At 33.8% G+C, this 17,323-nt stretch overlaps 1 protein-coding gene across 7 annotated transcripts in view; it reads left to right on the top strand.

The window, feature by feature from the left end:
* SEMA3D (semaphorin 3D) overlaps nucleotides 1-17,323 on the top strand; it is a 254,691-nt gene that overhangs the window by 181,137 nt on the left and 56,231 nt on the right. For all 7 annotated transcript variants that reach the window (NM_001384901.1, NM_001384903.1, NM_001384902.1 and 4 more), the window contains 3 exons: nucleotides 823-916; nucleotides 3,555-3,683; nucleotides 13,248-13,390. In NM_001384901.1, coding sequence (NP_001371830.1) covers nucleotides 823-916; nucleotides 3,555-3,683; nucleotides 13,248-13,390 — 366 coding nt within the window. The remainder of the gene's footprint in view (nucleotides 1-822; nucleotides 917-3,554; nucleotides 3,684-13,247; nucleotides 13,391-17,323) is intronic.

Raw genomic sequence — 17,323 nt, 5'->3', positions numbered from 1 at the left:
ATACACAGAGTGAGTCATCATCCTTTCTGCTGGATGGTAGTGTTGTCATTGTTATGAAACACTCAATCTCATGGGGCCATATTCATTATACATTCATATTTTTTCTTGGAAAGTTCAACTTAAGATGTTATTTATTTTCCCAAATACTAAAAGTCTGCCAATGTCATTCTGTCTGTGGTCACTATTATAAAAATAGATGTTTCAGCCAAAATAACTATGTGGTTTAATGTGTACAGTGTTTTCGTCATAGTGAAATACTACAACAGGATTTTTTTGTTACCCAGATGTATCAACAACTTGAAAATGAACTGCCCGCCTTAGAACACTTTTATGTTACTATAATTTTAAAAACTATTACAGGGTTTAAGTCATTTGACATAGTTGAAGATGCTTAGTTATATAAATTGTAATCATTATCCTGAAAGTATGATTATTATAGCAAATCTATTTCTTAAAAGATGAAGTTGGTTTTATTAGGCTCAATAAGTTAGTCATGAAAGCTCAAGAAATATGTGTTCTTAGTGGTGATTTCGATATTGATAATTGTGGAGACTAAATGTATTGATGAGTACATTACTACTTCCATTTGAAAAATTCACTCAGTATTATATTGCCACTTTGGGCCAAGGGAGACCAAAACATGGTTATTAAGTCTTGCCAGATATATTTGCTAAAAAGTTAAGGAGTTCAGCATTATGCACATGCTATATGCTCAATTAGTTTTATCAAATTCATGAGTTGGAATTTAGTTTGTATCTCCCACATTCTTACTGTTTGTAATATTTTTAAAAAGTTCACTAGTGTTAATATTTCTCATAACAGGATATTATATTCAAACTAGACACACATAATTTGGAGTCTGGCAGACTGAAATGTCCTTTCGATCCTCAGCAGCCTTTTGCTTCAGTAATGACAGGTAAGATCAATGACAGGCAGTTCTTATCCTTAAATGGTTTTCTAAGAGTTATTTTTTGACTGAACCGCATTTTCCTATTGAGTTAAAGGTAATTTTTTACTAATCTTCCACAAGCGATTTGTTTCCATTATTTTAGTGCCAAATTTGTCTGTACTGAGCATCCTTCTCACTAAAGGAAGGCCACAGCAATCCATGGTGTCTGCACAGTTACTTTTTAAATTAACTTCTGATTGAATATTTATAATGTCAAAGAACAGATAATTACTTGTTTTATAATTTTATATTTAGATGTCTGGGGATTTTCTTATGTTGTAATATCTCCCTATCTGACTTATTATAGAAATTAAATTTGGCAATTCCATATGTGGGTAAATTAAACCAAATTAATCAAGCTATAGAATACAGATAATAGAATGTTATAACATCTTCCTTTGCAATTTCACTATAACCTGATTATATCAGTGGAAACATGAAATTTATGCTAGCATAGCTAGTCTTCTCTCACTTTGTATACATCTTAAATTCTCTTATGAGACAACTATCTTGTTCAAAGAAGCAATACTGTGTGGTCTGAAGTCTGTTCCAAGGAATGTCAGCAAGACTTCTGAATTTCAACCATTATAAGGACTCCTTTTGTCTTGGTTTGGTCATGACTTCAGTCTCTTTCTATTTAACTTGTCTGTCAAATGTTTGAATAGACGATAAGAGTGAAGCACCATGACATTTTAATTTTCACTTAGTGAGAACTAGTGATTTTGCTTTGAAGTGACAGCATGTGTGTATTTGTGTTTTTTGAAAATTATGTGACTAATGATCAGTCATTATTCTCAGAAAATGAGATAGATGGTTTGTGATTCTGCTCTGTGAAATGGAGTTGGCATACCCTTAATAAAAAAACAAAACAAAACAATAGATTGGCGGCAGTTGTTACTCTCCTGATGAATCTCCAAGTAATTTTAGGGACAAGGAAGAAGTTCGAAAGCCTGGATATTCAGATCTAATTTTTGTGTTGAAATATATTTTTTCCTAACAAAACATTCAAATACTTGCAATTTTATAGGTTTCAAAGTGACAGTTCACTTCTTTTACCAAACTTTTTAATAATGTCTTTGTTGTTATTATTTTATTCTTTTTAAAAAATATGCCCACAATGAAATATTGCCATTTATCTGATACATTGTAGGGAAATACTCTAAGAGGATGGAAGCAGTACCTTATCTATGTCTACTTTACATAGCTGGAGTTCTCTCTCTCTCTCTCTCTCTCTCTCTCTCTCTGTGTGTGTGTGTGTGTGTGTGAGCGCACATTTCCTTTAGAAGTTAGCTATTCTCATTCTTAAGGTTGAATTATCCCTGATCGTTCATTGAAAGCTTATTTAGATGGATATAAACAGGGACTACAGAAAGTATCTTAATCCCTTCTTATACAAGGCAGAATTTTAAAGATATGTTTCTGAGCAAAAATAAATTTCAGTGATAAAACAATGTATTTGTTCTCATATTTAGGCATTTATAAAGTCTAAATGCTCTGTAGGGATTTGCCATTTTTTACATTGTTCTATTAAATGTAAAGCAAAGTGGTTGACTAAGAAGTTTCTTGAAATAGTAGAGGTTTAGCTCTCAAAGAGACAACATATTCTCCTGCAGGAACAGCCTTCTTCCTGCCCCTCCGCCCCACCCCTTCCCAACACCCTGACTAACATTAGGGAACATGGATCCCTGCTGCCTTCTTCTCCTTCCCTTATGTTTTTCTCACTCCCCTTCTTTCCATCCTCTTCCTCTCTCTAATCTGCCTTTTCTCTTTTCTCTTTGTCCTCCCCTTCTCCTGCCTCCTCTTTTCCCCCTCTTCCTCTTACTTCCCTTCTTCCTCCTTCTCACCATCCCTTCTCTCCTCCTCCCTTTCCTTCTCCTGTCTTCTTTGTTCTTCTCTCCTTTCTCTCTCTTTTTCTCCTTGACATTCCCCTTCTCTCTTTTGCTCCTTTCTGTCTCTGGTGAAACAGAACATGTACTTTACACAAATAGCAGAACAAAGAAGTTTGGTATGCAGTAATGGCAACATCTTTCCCCTTTCAAGAATTCCTGTTTATCAGAACTATTAGAGACATGATTAGCTACAAGGAATGCAACATGTTATAATTACAAAGAATGACTTCAGTGCTGAAAGCTCCCTTTCACCAGAGGTTAGGCAAAGAAAATTTGTGGTCATTGAGGTTGTGTCAGTTAAGTAAATACTAATCACACAATCCATTCCTCATTATGGCATTTAGCTTTTCATATTTTTTGTGTCTTATTCTAAAGAGGAACTCTTAATTATGACATTTATTTGAATTATTTGTGGGGAGAAGAGAAAGAGGAAACACTTATTATTTATTCAAAAGGGAAGCTAATGCATGTGCAATTATTAATTCAGAGAATTTGGCCTGTTTATATTCAAGTATTCAGCATCAGCTTACCAAAGTAAATTGAGTTATCTTTTCTTCAACTGAGATAAATTTTCAAAATCTGTGAAATTTATGAAACAATACATTCTGATATTAAGAAACAAACATCTTTGGTGTCATGCTGTGAAATTTGTACATGTTAAATAGCATCTACTGCTGTACTCTTAAAAGTTCTGTGTACTTTTTTCTCCCTCTCAGATGAGTACCTCTACTCTGGAACAGCTTCTGATTTCCTTGGCAAAGATACTGCATTCACTCGATCCCTTGGGCCTACTCATGACCACCACTACATCAGAACTGACATTTCAGAGCACTACTGGCTCAATGGTTTGTGATTTTTTTTTGTTTACTTTTGATTGTCTTGCTTTGGTTTAAGATAGATAAGAAGTGTATTATTATTCATTCAAATGTGTTTTGGAATAATTAATTTAGCTCAACATTATAAAATACATTTGAAATAATTCCCCACTAAGAAAATCTCCAAAACCTTTTGTTTATATAGTAATACATAATATTTATTGAGTGTCTGCTATTCCTCAACACTCTTCTGTGCTCTAATTAATATTTTAAATATTCACAATGACATCTGGGATATATCATTATTTTATTCTTTAATACGCATAAACTATTATGCTATAAAAATACTGAAGTACAGAGAAATAATTTGGTCAAGGTCTTATAACTTGTCAGATGCAGAGTGAGAATTCAAGCAGGCAATCTTACTCTTGCAGTCTGTGTAAAGACCAAGGCATGTACTGTCTGTTAGCCCAATGAACTCGGGTTAGATTGTAATGGTAACTTCTGTTGCTTAAAAATAATATACACTTGGGTTAAGACATTTCTCTTCAAAATTTTAAGCATATTAATATTGACATAATTTTGTCTGATTACTATTTTAAGAATCATACAATATTTTGAGTTTCAAATTTTTTAAAAAACATAAGAATATTATAAATGAGTTTATTTAATTAATCCAAGGAACACTACAAGGCACCTAACTCCACCCCACTCCCCACCACCGCCTTACAACAGATCAAATTTTATCATGATTCTCTAACATGTGATTTTATTCCATTGCATGGCAGAATGACATAACACTGTAATTTAAGCAGGCAGGCATTTTTCATTCCCATAATAAATATTGGGCCTTAGTGAAGGAGGCGAGGGTAGAGATTTCCTAGGGTCTATCTCTCTATCTCTCAGTGCCTTTTAAGCAGTGACAACATAAACAAAAGGAAAAACACTTTGAAAACATTTCTTTAGTCAAAAACTCCAGATCTATTTGTTTATACAACAATGTGATTCTCATCAGCCAAAAAAAGTACCCTTAATAGGTAGTCTTAAAAGGGAAAACAAATATAGAATATCCATGACTACGTGATTACCCATTAATTTCTTAACACACATGCAAAGCAAAGCTATCTTTTTGTGCATTGTCAGATTTTTGTGGAATTATTTGGTTTGAGAGTAACTTCTTAAATGTCACCTATAGAATAGCTTAGATACCTATTTGAGTAAAAAGATATTTTTATGGCTTAAAATGAAGTATAAGATTGTATCTCTGTCTTGGGATGGCAAATATCATGTTTCTCCTCTTCTAAAAGACAGTAGTATTTTTTCCATTACTGTAACATATTCATTAATAAGTCAGCAGCATTGTCAATACAATAAATGTAGGAAATATGCATTCAATTATTATTTGCCTAGATATGCTATTTTTAGTACTGTATGAAGAAGATTAGAGATTAGGAAGCCTTTGAATTGGTTTAACAATTTCCTTAATAAACAACTTCTGAGACCCTATTGCCTACTGGGTGCTATTCTACCCTTGTGGCCTGCATAGATAGATAGGGGAGGGTCACCGACCTCAGGGATGATGAACGCCTTGCTCAGCCTGAAGCATAAAGCGGGAGTAGGAGACAAGGCTACAAAGCTGTAAATATTATCTTGAAACCATGATGGCTTACTTTTTAATCAAGGAGTCAGAATTTTGTTTTTCTAAAGGTAACTTACAAAAACAATAGCATGTTTTTTAATAGCATGAATGGAAGACTAAAGAAGGACGAGGACAGAGAGACAAGAGGCCACTGCATGAAAATAGGGAAATGAGAAAGGGACAGCAACAAAAGTAGTGGAAGTATATGAGAATATACTGCAAAGAATATTTGAGAGAGAATATACTGTTTTGTAAATAGAAGAATCCAAGGACATGAGACAGAGCTCAAGAGATTTGTATGCTGGGAAAACTTTGCAATTAAAGAAGCCAGTAGAATAAAATAAATTGAAGGTAGGAGAAAAGACAAATGGTAGAGGAAGTCTCAATTGACTGACTTCAAGCAAATAATTATGATGCAGAAAAACTGACTTTTATGGTTCTAGGAGATTCAAGGCAGACTGCTTAGCAGTTAAAAGCCAGGGTGATAATATGACCTACTTTGCCCAGGACATTTTCAGTTTGCTCCTGTTCTTTTACTCTTAAAAGTGTCCCTGTTTAGACTAAAATTGATTCTGTGGAACTTATTTATTTGTGCTTAATTCCTGAATGGTGACTTTGGTCAAACTTTAATGTCCATTCAAATTCTTTGTCTGTAAATATGGAATCTATTAACAATAGAATCTATTCACAGGGCGTTATAAGGATAAAATTAAATCATATCGGGAAGTCTATTAGAAGACAATTTTAAGAGCTGAATTAGCATCAATATCATCATGATCATTATTAGGTATCATGTGGTACCATGAAGGTAGCAGTGGGAGGTAGAAGTGAGGCTAAAACCTGAATGCTGTGTGATTCTCTACTATCTCTTTAGCATTTTGTATTATTGACTGCCTTTTCATTCTCTCCCTCTACACTTCATAATTCTGTGAGCTCATCCATCCGAATAGTTTCAACTGTTTCCTGTGTTCCAGTGTTTCCTAAAATTGTATTTCCAACCTTTTCCTGTAACTAAGTGGCCTCAAAAATAATTTATTTGGATGACTTCCATTTTTATTCTAGATTAAAAGAAAAAAGATTATTGTTTTATATAAAAATCAAGATATGTAAGCCTTAGTTTTGATTGTGCTGTTAAATTGCTTTAAGGTTGTTACAAGTGGTTTAATGACCCTTTGTTTTAATTGGATTTAAAGTCTAAAATCTTGTGAATGTTATAGATCTTGTTTCTTCTTTCAAACCTGTCCTTCAATATCCATTTTCTGATTTTTATCTATTTTAACTTTCCTAACTTCATCCACCCAGTTACCTTGGAGTTATCTTTGATTCCTTCCTCTTCTTCCTCTCCTTTATCTAATCTATTTCTAAGAGCTTTTACTTCCTTGAAAATATCTGTTGACCTTGTTCTTTCTATGGTTACCATTTTCCTATAGGTCTTCATTACCTCATCTCTGGTTTATTGCCACCATTTTATTGTTTACTAACTGATCTCCCCATCTCTCATCTCTTCCCATTCAAAATTATTTTATATAATATCCATGCTAGTCCTATCTTTGGCACTTTTAAAGTGCTATTTTATTGACTGTTATAAACCTGAGAGAATTACTATTTACATTTTACATTTGATGATATATTTGATGTCAGATAATAGTTCATAGTTAAACAGCTAGCGGAGGTGAGATTGAAGCTCGAATATGTGTATCTCGCCCCTGATATTGTATCATTTCCATTGTATAATACAGTTCATCGGCTCAAAATCTGCTCTTTTGATGGCATGTCCCCTGCTCTTTGCAGCCTCACTACAAACTGGGACATATGGACATGCCATGTAGGGCAACAGCAAATCAAGGATGTGGGTCTGGTAGCAGGAAGCAGGGACAGATAGAGAAGATGGAGTTCCGCAAGCAATGAGGGAGACCTAGGCAGTCTGGCTGGAGCCAGGGAAAGCAGGGAAAGTGCAAGCAGCCATTCAGATATTTGCTGAGGGAAAGGCAGGCCAGAGCTAGAAGAGCACAATGCTTCAGGAGATTCAGTCATTCAGGAGTTCCCCAGTCCACAGAAACTAGGGCAGAGTAAGGGGAGAAATTGTAGAAATGATGATATTCTTATAATGAAGAGGGATCTGATGGACTAAGACAAAATATTGGCTTGCTCAGAGAACATTTCTGTCCTTTATGAGAAATGGGCGATTTTCCAGATACAGTCAGCCTATGGTCCAAAGTCAATGGAGTCATCTGTCTGGAGTCAGGAGTGGGAGGGGAGAGAATACAGATGAACTGCGACAAGTGAGTATTTAACTGTTAAGATGCAGATTCTAAAGAGTTATCATTTTTCATATGATGCTACATGAATCTTTTATAAATCCATTTTTATCACCGAAGCACTTAGGGGGTTTAAAATTCTTGATACAGGTGTGCATGGCATATTATGTTCTGTGCCCCACTTGGCATTAACCAGAGTGAGATCAGCTAACCACTTAACAGTGCAAGGATCCTTCTCAGAATTTTTCTAGGACTGTTTAATCCAGTTTAGACTTAAAAAGTAGGAATCCTGATTCCTTCCTTAAGATACTAATCCATCTAGCAAATACCTTACGAGGAGGATACAAAATGGCAAAGATGAAATTTTTTCATCTTTGAGGCAGTTTTCATTTGAAGTTGTAAAAAGTGTTTTTTTTACAGTATTTTTATGGGCATTTCTAAATGAAGTCTTTGATGGTTCCACACTTTGATTTATCAACTTAATCTTAAAACATATAGGAAATAGGAATATAGATGCAAACTAGGGTGTTTACTCAAATGCAGTTGAGCTTTTGTTACAATTTTAGGATAAAACTAAGAAGTGTGACCACTTGGAAGATGAAAGCGAACAATAACGCCTCAGATGCATGCAGATGTTTTTGTTTTCTTTCTTGGAATAGATGAGAACTTTTGTTTTAAATTTTCTTTTCTAACATATGGAGACAGTTTTCATTTGAAGTTTCTCTTGGGATGATCTGTTGTCTGTAAACTCTCCTTCCACATGAAAGGAGAACATCAAAAAATGATAATAGGAAAATGAGACTATAAGAAGTAATAAAAGGAAGTTAGGAACTTACTATCTATTAAATAATGCTAGTGTGCTCATCTGGGTGAAAAGAGTTTCATAGGGAGAAAGGGAAGTAGTGTGTGCTGCAGGCCACATGAGTTTATGCCATGTTCTTTTGGCAGTGCCTCTTGGTGTCATGCTAGAAGTTCATCTGAAAATGCATGATTTCAAGCTGCATTCCTACTGGGGCATGTACTCAAGTGCCAAATGGAGAAAATGTGCTATAATAAAGCCCAGGTGCCTAATGGTATAATTTTAAGTTGTTTAATTGATCAAGTATGCACTGATTAAATGATACCTATTTTTACCCAAATTTGGCAGTAAATCAGGGAAGAGTTTCTGTCATAAAATACTAACATCAGAGTTCTAAGACCGGACCTCAACAGAATCTGCAAGAAATAAACTCTGTGCTTGCAACTTGTATTTATTTTTAACTCTCAAGTATGCTTACTATTTAAATCACAGAATAAAGCACTACTTGACACTAACTCTTTTTCTCATAATTAAATTTCTTTATACAACAAACATTTAGCTTTAACACCTCCAGTATTCCCTTGCAAAACATTTTTTACAGTACTTGCAAGAGAGCCAATATTTAAGAGAGAGTTCAATAAAATCAATAATGACTGAATAAACAGAATAAGACTGTCTATGGCATATATCAGTTGAAAGGTAAAATAAATATCACTTGGAAAAATATCCATGCTCTTTCCTCCTCCCACCTCATTGATGTCATACTGAAATTTCTGAAATGTAGACTAGTATCATAGCCTACCTATTGGCCATTTCAAATAGCCATACCTGTCAACACTTGGATGATGTTTTTCATATCTGAAGTGGGTTTTCCTATGCATTTCTGCATTATGACAATGAATTGCCATATTTATTTATACCCCTTTTACACTTCTTTTATCATTATGTTCTATTTTATTATTCTGCTCTTTTTTCTTTTAATTAAACTCTGTAAACAAGTGAACAACAATCAGCTCATGGAACCCCTTCTCCCATTTGAGTGATTGAGGAAAGCTTTATAAGCAACTCTCTCCTTCATATTGGTATTCCTTTTAACTGTTCTGCTTTTCGGTTTCGAATCACTGAGTTCTCATTTTCTCTCTAGAGAGAAGATTCTCTACACTTTGTACCACTATGTTATTTTTTAAATTATAAATTCAATTCAATCATTTTGTAGGTTTGACAGGACACTGAAATTTCAAGGGACATCATGCTGCATGTGTAAGTTCTACATTAATTATATGCAAGTGCTACAATAAATTCTACTCATGTTAATACCGATGTAATCCCACATATTTGTGAAGATAAGGAAATCCAATCATTTCCTATAATTTCTGCATAGTTTCAGTTTTATACATTTTTCCCATTCAAATTACTTAAGAATTTATTATTAATTCCCCACGCCCCCATATATACATACATAGAACTATATTATTGACCTTGAGTTAATGAGTCTAAATGTATCTTTTTCCCATCCCGTATATAGATAGGGTTTTATTTATTTTTGTATTTGTATATGTTTAAAATACACATGGCAGTTCAGCTAGAGAATTCCATCCAGTTTGGCAGCACTGGATTTAAGCATCTGTAAATTCAAAAAGTTCTAAAGATTATTATTCATCCCTGGTCTGTGTTTGTGGGAGCCCACTGTTGGTTGTTTTTCTCTGTTCATTGTTGTAATATCAAGTCAGTGGAAAAATCATGGCTATGCATTCTCTTTAGCCATGTCTTGACCATTTGTCAATATTTCCTTAATCCAGATCATACTTGGTTTGATATAGAGTGTCAGTTCTTATTCATTCTTTTATTATTTAATTCAAATAGTTTTCTTTTTTTTTGCACTAAATTCCTTGAATATAATAGTAATGAAATACATTATTTCTCTGTTTTCTTGAATTTCAGAAACCCGAATCTCACATTTATAGAACAATTTGATCCCACAAAGAGTTGCTTTTTTTTTTTTTTTTTTTTGTAGTGGAGTCTCGCTCTGTCGCCCAGGCTGGAGTGCAGTGGCACAATCTTGTCTCACTGCAAGCTGCGCCTCCCGGGTTCAGGCCATTCTCCTGCCTCAGCCTCCCGAGTAGCTGGGACTGCAGGCGCCCGCCACCACGCCCAGCTAATTTTTTTGTATTTTTAGTAGAGATGGGCTTTCACCGTGTTAGCCAGGATGGTCTCTATCTCTTTACCTCGTGATCTGCCGGCCTCGGCCTCCCAAAGTGCTGGGATTATAGGCGTGAGCCACACCAAGAGGTGCTTTTTAAAAGAAAACATGTTTAAATAAAAAATCTGAAGTGTTGGTTTGCGATTAAAAAAAAAGAGATTTTTACTTTGCTCAGTGATCAAAACCAAGTATTCGTGATTTACTAACAATTTGAAAGAGGGCCGGGGCAGGGGTTGGGGAAGACATTGAATGGAATTTTTAATGGGCCTTGCCAATTTGAGATTAATTAGAAAAAAATTAAATACTTTATGTGGTTTTCTAAAATTTTATTTTTATATATTTTTGAAAAACCATACCAAAGTGAGATTATCAAGAATATAAAAGTCCATTGAAGCTCTAAATTACCGACAAAACAAACAAAAGAAAACAGGAAAATAATATAGAATAAGGAGAAGAAAGTTCATGAATGTATTTCCCTCCTTTCTTTTCCTTTCAAAGCTTTGCATTAAAGCAAAGAAGAGATTGGATGGGAGACACAGGGCCAACCCAGAGAGGCTGAGACGATATTGACTGAATACCCATCACTCGGAATCCAACGTTAACTTTTTATTTACTTATTTTCTTTTTGAGACGGAGTCTGTCTCTGTCGCCTAGGCTGGAGTGCCCTGGTGTGATCTCGGCTCTCTACAACCTCTGCCTTCTGGGTTCAAGGGATTCTCGTGCCTCAGCCTCCCAAGTAGCTGGGATTACAGATGTGCACCACCATGCCCGGCTAACTTTTGTATTTTTAGTAGACAGGGTTGCACCATATTGGCCAGGCTGTTCTCAAACTACTGACCTCAAGTGATCCACCCGCCTCAGCCTCCCAAAGTGCTGGGATTATAAGCGTGAGCCACCACACCCAGCCCCAACATTAACTTGTCTATTAAAGAAGGCTACTGTGAAGCTTTATTGGGATATTGGCCAATTGCTGTACATTTGCAGGAGAGTGATTTTCATAACACCTGGGGCGCACAGCAATCAGAGCTCTAGGCAAAACTCTAGAAAAGGCAATATTGATCTTTTTCACCTCCCGCCAATTTATTTTTCTGTTAAAACTTTTTGGCTTCTCTTTTCTCTTGCTTCTGCTTCTTAAAAAGTCAGTGCTCTGTTCTTCTTTCCAGGTGCCACATATTTTCTAATTGAAGTCTTTCCTTCATTTCTCAATAACCATACTCTCTGTCTTCTTTGCTTTAATCCAATTATTTCTGAACTGGTATCATCCTATTACGCATCTGTTACCTGGTTAATTCACAATTATTTAAAACCAAGACTTAAAATGCCGAATACCTCTTAAACAAGGTTTTAGAAACCCAAATAAATTTTTCAGTGATACAGTGAAAAGAGGTTCATCATATTGCAAACATTTTTACACTGTACATATATTATGGCCATCTTTCCAGGTCAGTACCTACAGATCTACTAAATTTTTAATAATGACATATTATTTTTACAAGTACATGGATGTACTCAATTTTCTATTAACCCCTGTATATTGTCATCGTAATGATAATGCTTATCAGCCCCATAACTATCTTAATAATAATCACACTTATTAAATACTTATTATATAACCAGCCTTTGCCTGATGCTAAATGCTATACATATATATATATATATATATATATGCTGTATATGTATGCTATATAAATTTCAGTATGACATCAATGAGGTGGGAGGAGGAAAAAGCATGGATATTTTTCCAAGTGCTATTTATTTTACCTTTCAACTAATATATACCACGGATAGCCTTATTCTGTTTATTCAGTCATTGATTTTATAGAACTCTGTCATAAATACTGGCTTTTGTACTGTAAAAAATTGTTTTGGAGGAATACTGGAGGTGTTAAAGCTAAATGTTTGTTGTATAAAGAAATTTAATGCTATATATATGCTATATATATAAAATGTTATATAAATGCTATATATATAGCATATATACACATATAAAAAGGAATTTAATGCTTATATATGCTATATGTATATAAATGCTATGTATATACACATATAAATCCACTTGATAATAATATAAATTATCTTATTAGGTAGATGACGTTGGTAGTCTTATATTACATATGAGTAAATTGAGTCATTGAAAAGATAAATAATGTGTCAAAGGTCACCATTCCAGTGAGTGGCAGTGAAAGAGATAAATTCAGAAAGTTTATCTAGAGCCTATACTGTCATATTGAACTTGAACCAAACACTACTGGTTGTTTCCATTTTTATACCCCTAGGGCAATTACACAAAATTCATCAAAGTATTAATACATCACAGTATGTCAAAATCAGTGCTAGATTTTTACTATTTCCTAAGCCGTTTATGAAAGACATGGTGGTTGAAAACTCCATTATATAGAAAGAGAATATAAAATGATAGCATCTCCATATCTGAAAAGATCTACAAGCAATTTAGTCTAGTCATGTTCTCACCTGCTCTCTGGAATTCCTGGAGAACTTGTTCAGTACCTCTTTATGCTGATACATATTTCTACATTGTGTCATCTTCATTTGTATACACATCTCATTTCCCACATCTGGCTTATAGTTCATTTTTTAAAAATTCTACTGCTAATTGCTTTTACGTGGAAATATCATCAAACTATGATGACTGGATTGTTTCAGTATCTTAATTTATAGCTTCTTTTCTTTCAAACAGGAGCAAAATTTATTGGAACTTTCTTCATACCAGACACCTACAATCCAGATGATGATAAAATATATTTCTTCTTTCGTGAATCATCTCAAGAAGGCAGTACCTCCGATAAAACCATCCTTTCTCGAGTTGGAAGAGTTTGTAAGGCAAGATATATTTATATATTTTACTTAAAACATATATATATATATATATATATATATATATATATATATATGTATATGAAAAAACTTTGGCAAGGTTTAAGCCAAAGTTAATGCTCATTATTCATAAATGGTATGATTCATACTACCCTAGATGTGTAATTTTTGAGATCCAAATGTAAAAAATAAGAAAAAGAAAAGAAAAGAAAAAGAAGAAAAGAAAGAAAAAGGAAAGAGTTCACATTTTTCAAACATTACAGTTTATTTTTCCAACAGTGCCTGAACTGTTGCCCTGGTGTGAGTTACACATCTTTGGCAGCTTATTTCTTTTATTGAAGGTCTATTCTTTTGCCAGTGATTGCTATTCCCAGTAACATCACTGCATTGTCCTGATCCCTGGAGCTTAAAATGTTTTTATATAATGTTAAATAATCTAAATGAAAGTAACTTAACGTAATCCCTAGAGTAATTTAAGCATCATCAGATGTATATTCTACATTTTTATCATCACGCACATCACATATGTAAAATTATATATCATTACATGCATCAAATCAGTTGAAATTTTGTTACGTTATTACTCTATTAAATATTTTCTAGACCTGTAATCTAGTTTAGGTTCTGAGAGAAAATGAGGTAAAGAGGAAAAAACAAACAACCACAATGCAAAATATTTATTTTGAAGAATACTGCAATTAGTTTTTAATCTTGCCATTTTATGTAAATTATAAATAAACACAGATACTCTATGAGAGGCTTCCATTTTGTGCCATCAAAGCTCTCATTTGACTGAATACAAGCTTTATGGAATAATGTTGCTACTAGAATCATACTTTAACTTCAGTATATTATTTTTCTGCTTAGATTTGTCTCCACTGAAATAACTTTTCTTAAAAAGACACCTTTAGCATCAACTCAGTTATTAAGGGGAAGAGCTGTTAATAAATACTCTCAGCAGGAAGCTTTCTTTGGTCTTGTACAAACTTTTCATTTTCTTCTATCTGAACCTATCACGTTTTTCTTTCAATCTGTACCCTCAGGCTTCTGAACACTTTCAGGGACAGAAATACAAACCATCATTGCACTTAAAAGTGCTAATGAAAACATGGCTTTTGAATGAGGCCAACTTGTGAGCCCAGATCATTCTTTACCTAGTGTCCTAGCCAATAATGCTGTCTCCCACTGATCCCCTCACCCCCAGGGGACAGATTCTCTAAAAAGCATTCTCATTCTTTCAGACTCTAAGAATTCACAGTAATTTCTCTTGAAGCCTCTTGCCTAGAGATGAATGCCTGTTGTTTGGAGTAGTCCTAATGTGTTAGTGTATTGAAGCATGCCTTATAGCAACAGTATCCTGACCCTGAAAAGCTGTGTTGTGGATTGACATTATTTGTATAAATGAGCTATGTTAAATAAAGAATAAGGGATTTACAATCAATTAAATGAATTTCAAGAGTCACTTTCTGATGAATATATATAGCAAGTAAATATATATTTTGTGCACCAGTTCAATGCTTATTTCTTGATAAATATAATCCATTTAATAGAAATGTATTTGTAACAAAGTAATGTCTTACCCTAGTATAAATATACTGAAAGTTAATCTCAGAGTGTATTAAAGAAAAATCTAGTTATCCCATATATAAATTCCTATATTAAAATTATAACCTATTCTCTAAACATCAACCATGTAATATTTTATTTATATTATGAAAAAACACCTAGAGAACTGGAAAGGCAGAGAAAATTGTCGTAAATGAGTTTTCTCATCACACACACACACACATACACACACACAAAACCTCTGAGGCCACACAGCAAGATTCTGTCATGCTATTGTTCTTGGTTAAAAAGCTAACAAATTGTGAGATCAAAAAAGAATATATGATGGATGAATTTATTTTTTAAAAAAAGAGGTTCTTCATTAATTAGTGTATCTCCACTCAATCACATTTTTAAATGAGCACATCTTCAGAATTTCTCACTATACATATGATCCATTGGTCAAATGTCTACAATATTTTGGTTCTAAATGCTTTCTTTGCAGTTTCTCAGTTGCATCACATGCTGCCCATGTTTCTAACTTAATAATCTAAGATTAAGTTGTGGCAAAAAGTGAACATTTTCAAGTGGAGATTTCACTGACAACATGAAAAATGACTTAAAATCTTTATTTAAAATATGACAAGATGGCCTACAAAACAATAACAACTTTAGCAATAACAAAAAAAGACCTCAGCATCATTGTTGCTGTAATCTTATTTTCACATAAAAAAGATTATTTTGACATTATTTGAAACTTATTATTCCTTTCTGTTGTTTCTTCCCCCCAGCGTCATTATAATACTGTTTTTTTCTTTTGACAAGTAATAACAGAATGCACATCTATGCTATGAAACAAAATTGAGTTCAGTAGATACAAGTAAAGATCTAAGAAGCAACAGATCATGTTAGAGGAAACTAAGAGTAAACTGTGTATGCTTCACTGAGTTTTACAAAGATTTTTTAGTAACATGAGAGTCCTTTATTCTATTTGTTCCACCAGCATATTCCCACAGAACATATTTGGAAATACTCAGGTTTTGTTGTTCTTGCTGTTATAGTTCATTTGTTCTCATTTTTCACTGAATAAGTTAGCACAGTAAAGAACTGCTGACAATTTAAGAGCTCCCTTCATCTTCAGCTACTAACTGAAAAACAATTGTTTTATTGACTTGTAAAACTAGTTTTATTGACCGGTCAAAGATACTATTAGACTAAGTAGTATACTGTGATTGGTGGGGAAAAGATTTTGGCAATAGAGAAACATTATATAAAAATGGGTAAAGGATTATTCTCACAACAAGTGTGAATCTTTTCACTTTTATAACTCTTTTGTTTATTATTTTATTATCTAATTATTTCAACAACAGCAACAAAATATGAAATAATTTCTGCGCAAAATGCACTATACTAGACAATTAGTGTAGATAATCAACCACTGTCCCTTTTCTTTCAAAGCTTTTAGTATAGTGAGGGCAATAGATATATCAACAAATAATCATAATGTGATGTGATAGAGTTATGAGCTAAGAACTCTAGGGATTTGGTGAAGCCCAAAAACATTGTATGAAGGAAGTGGTGCTTTAGTTGAGTTCTATGAGGAAGTGGGACTACGCTAAGGAATGGAGGCCAGGCATTTCAGGCAGCGTTGTGACAGTTGTTTTTTGTTTGTTTGTTTTTCGTTTTTATTTTTGTTTTGGTTTTGGTTTTAGTTTTGGTTTTAGTTTTTGTTTATAGAACAGTGAAATCTTGTTGTAACTGGAATTCAAGGGATGTGTCTGGGGAGCAATGACTTTTGAGATTAGAGTGGTAAGTTGGTTGATAAGAAGTTTTGTTTCCATGTTAGTCAGTGTGAACTCTATCCTGTAGTCAATGAGGGATTATAAAATGTTTTAAGCAGAGAAGTGACAAGATAGGTAAATATAGTTAGCAGCAATTTGAAGAATGTATCTGGATCGAGAAATATTTGTGACTGGGAGACCTGTTAGGTTGTTCCCTAAAGATAACAGGAACAAAGAGATAAGCACTAAGAGTAAGTTCAAGAGATAGTTCAGATAGAAAGTATATGTAGGTGTATATGTAGATTTCTATAAAGTCCTCACTTTATTACTGCTCTTTTATTGTTTGCCTGGTATACATAGGGCTGACCAATAGAGCACTCTTATAATGACGGTAATATTCTACACCTGCACTATCCAATACAATCGCCATGTAGATGTTAGTGTTCAAATATGACTGGCATGACTCATGAGCTAAATTTTTAATGCATTTTAATTCTCTTGCTCCTATCATAGAGATTTTGATACCTACCCTGTAGACAAGTACCCTTTTATCCTTGGTAATTGTGATTCCTGGAAGATACAACATGGACCAGGAACATGTGCAAAGAGATAT

Source organism: Homo sapiens, chromosome 7 (assembly GCF_000001405.40).
Source record: "Homo sapiens chromosome 7, GRCh38.p14 Primary Assembly".
Classification (NCBI taxonomy): Eukaryota; Metazoa; Chordata; class Mammalia; order Primates; family Hominidae; genus Homo; species Homo sapiens.
Note: the sequence above shows the minus strand (reverse complement) of the source record. Positions and strands in the feature narration are given on the sequence as shown.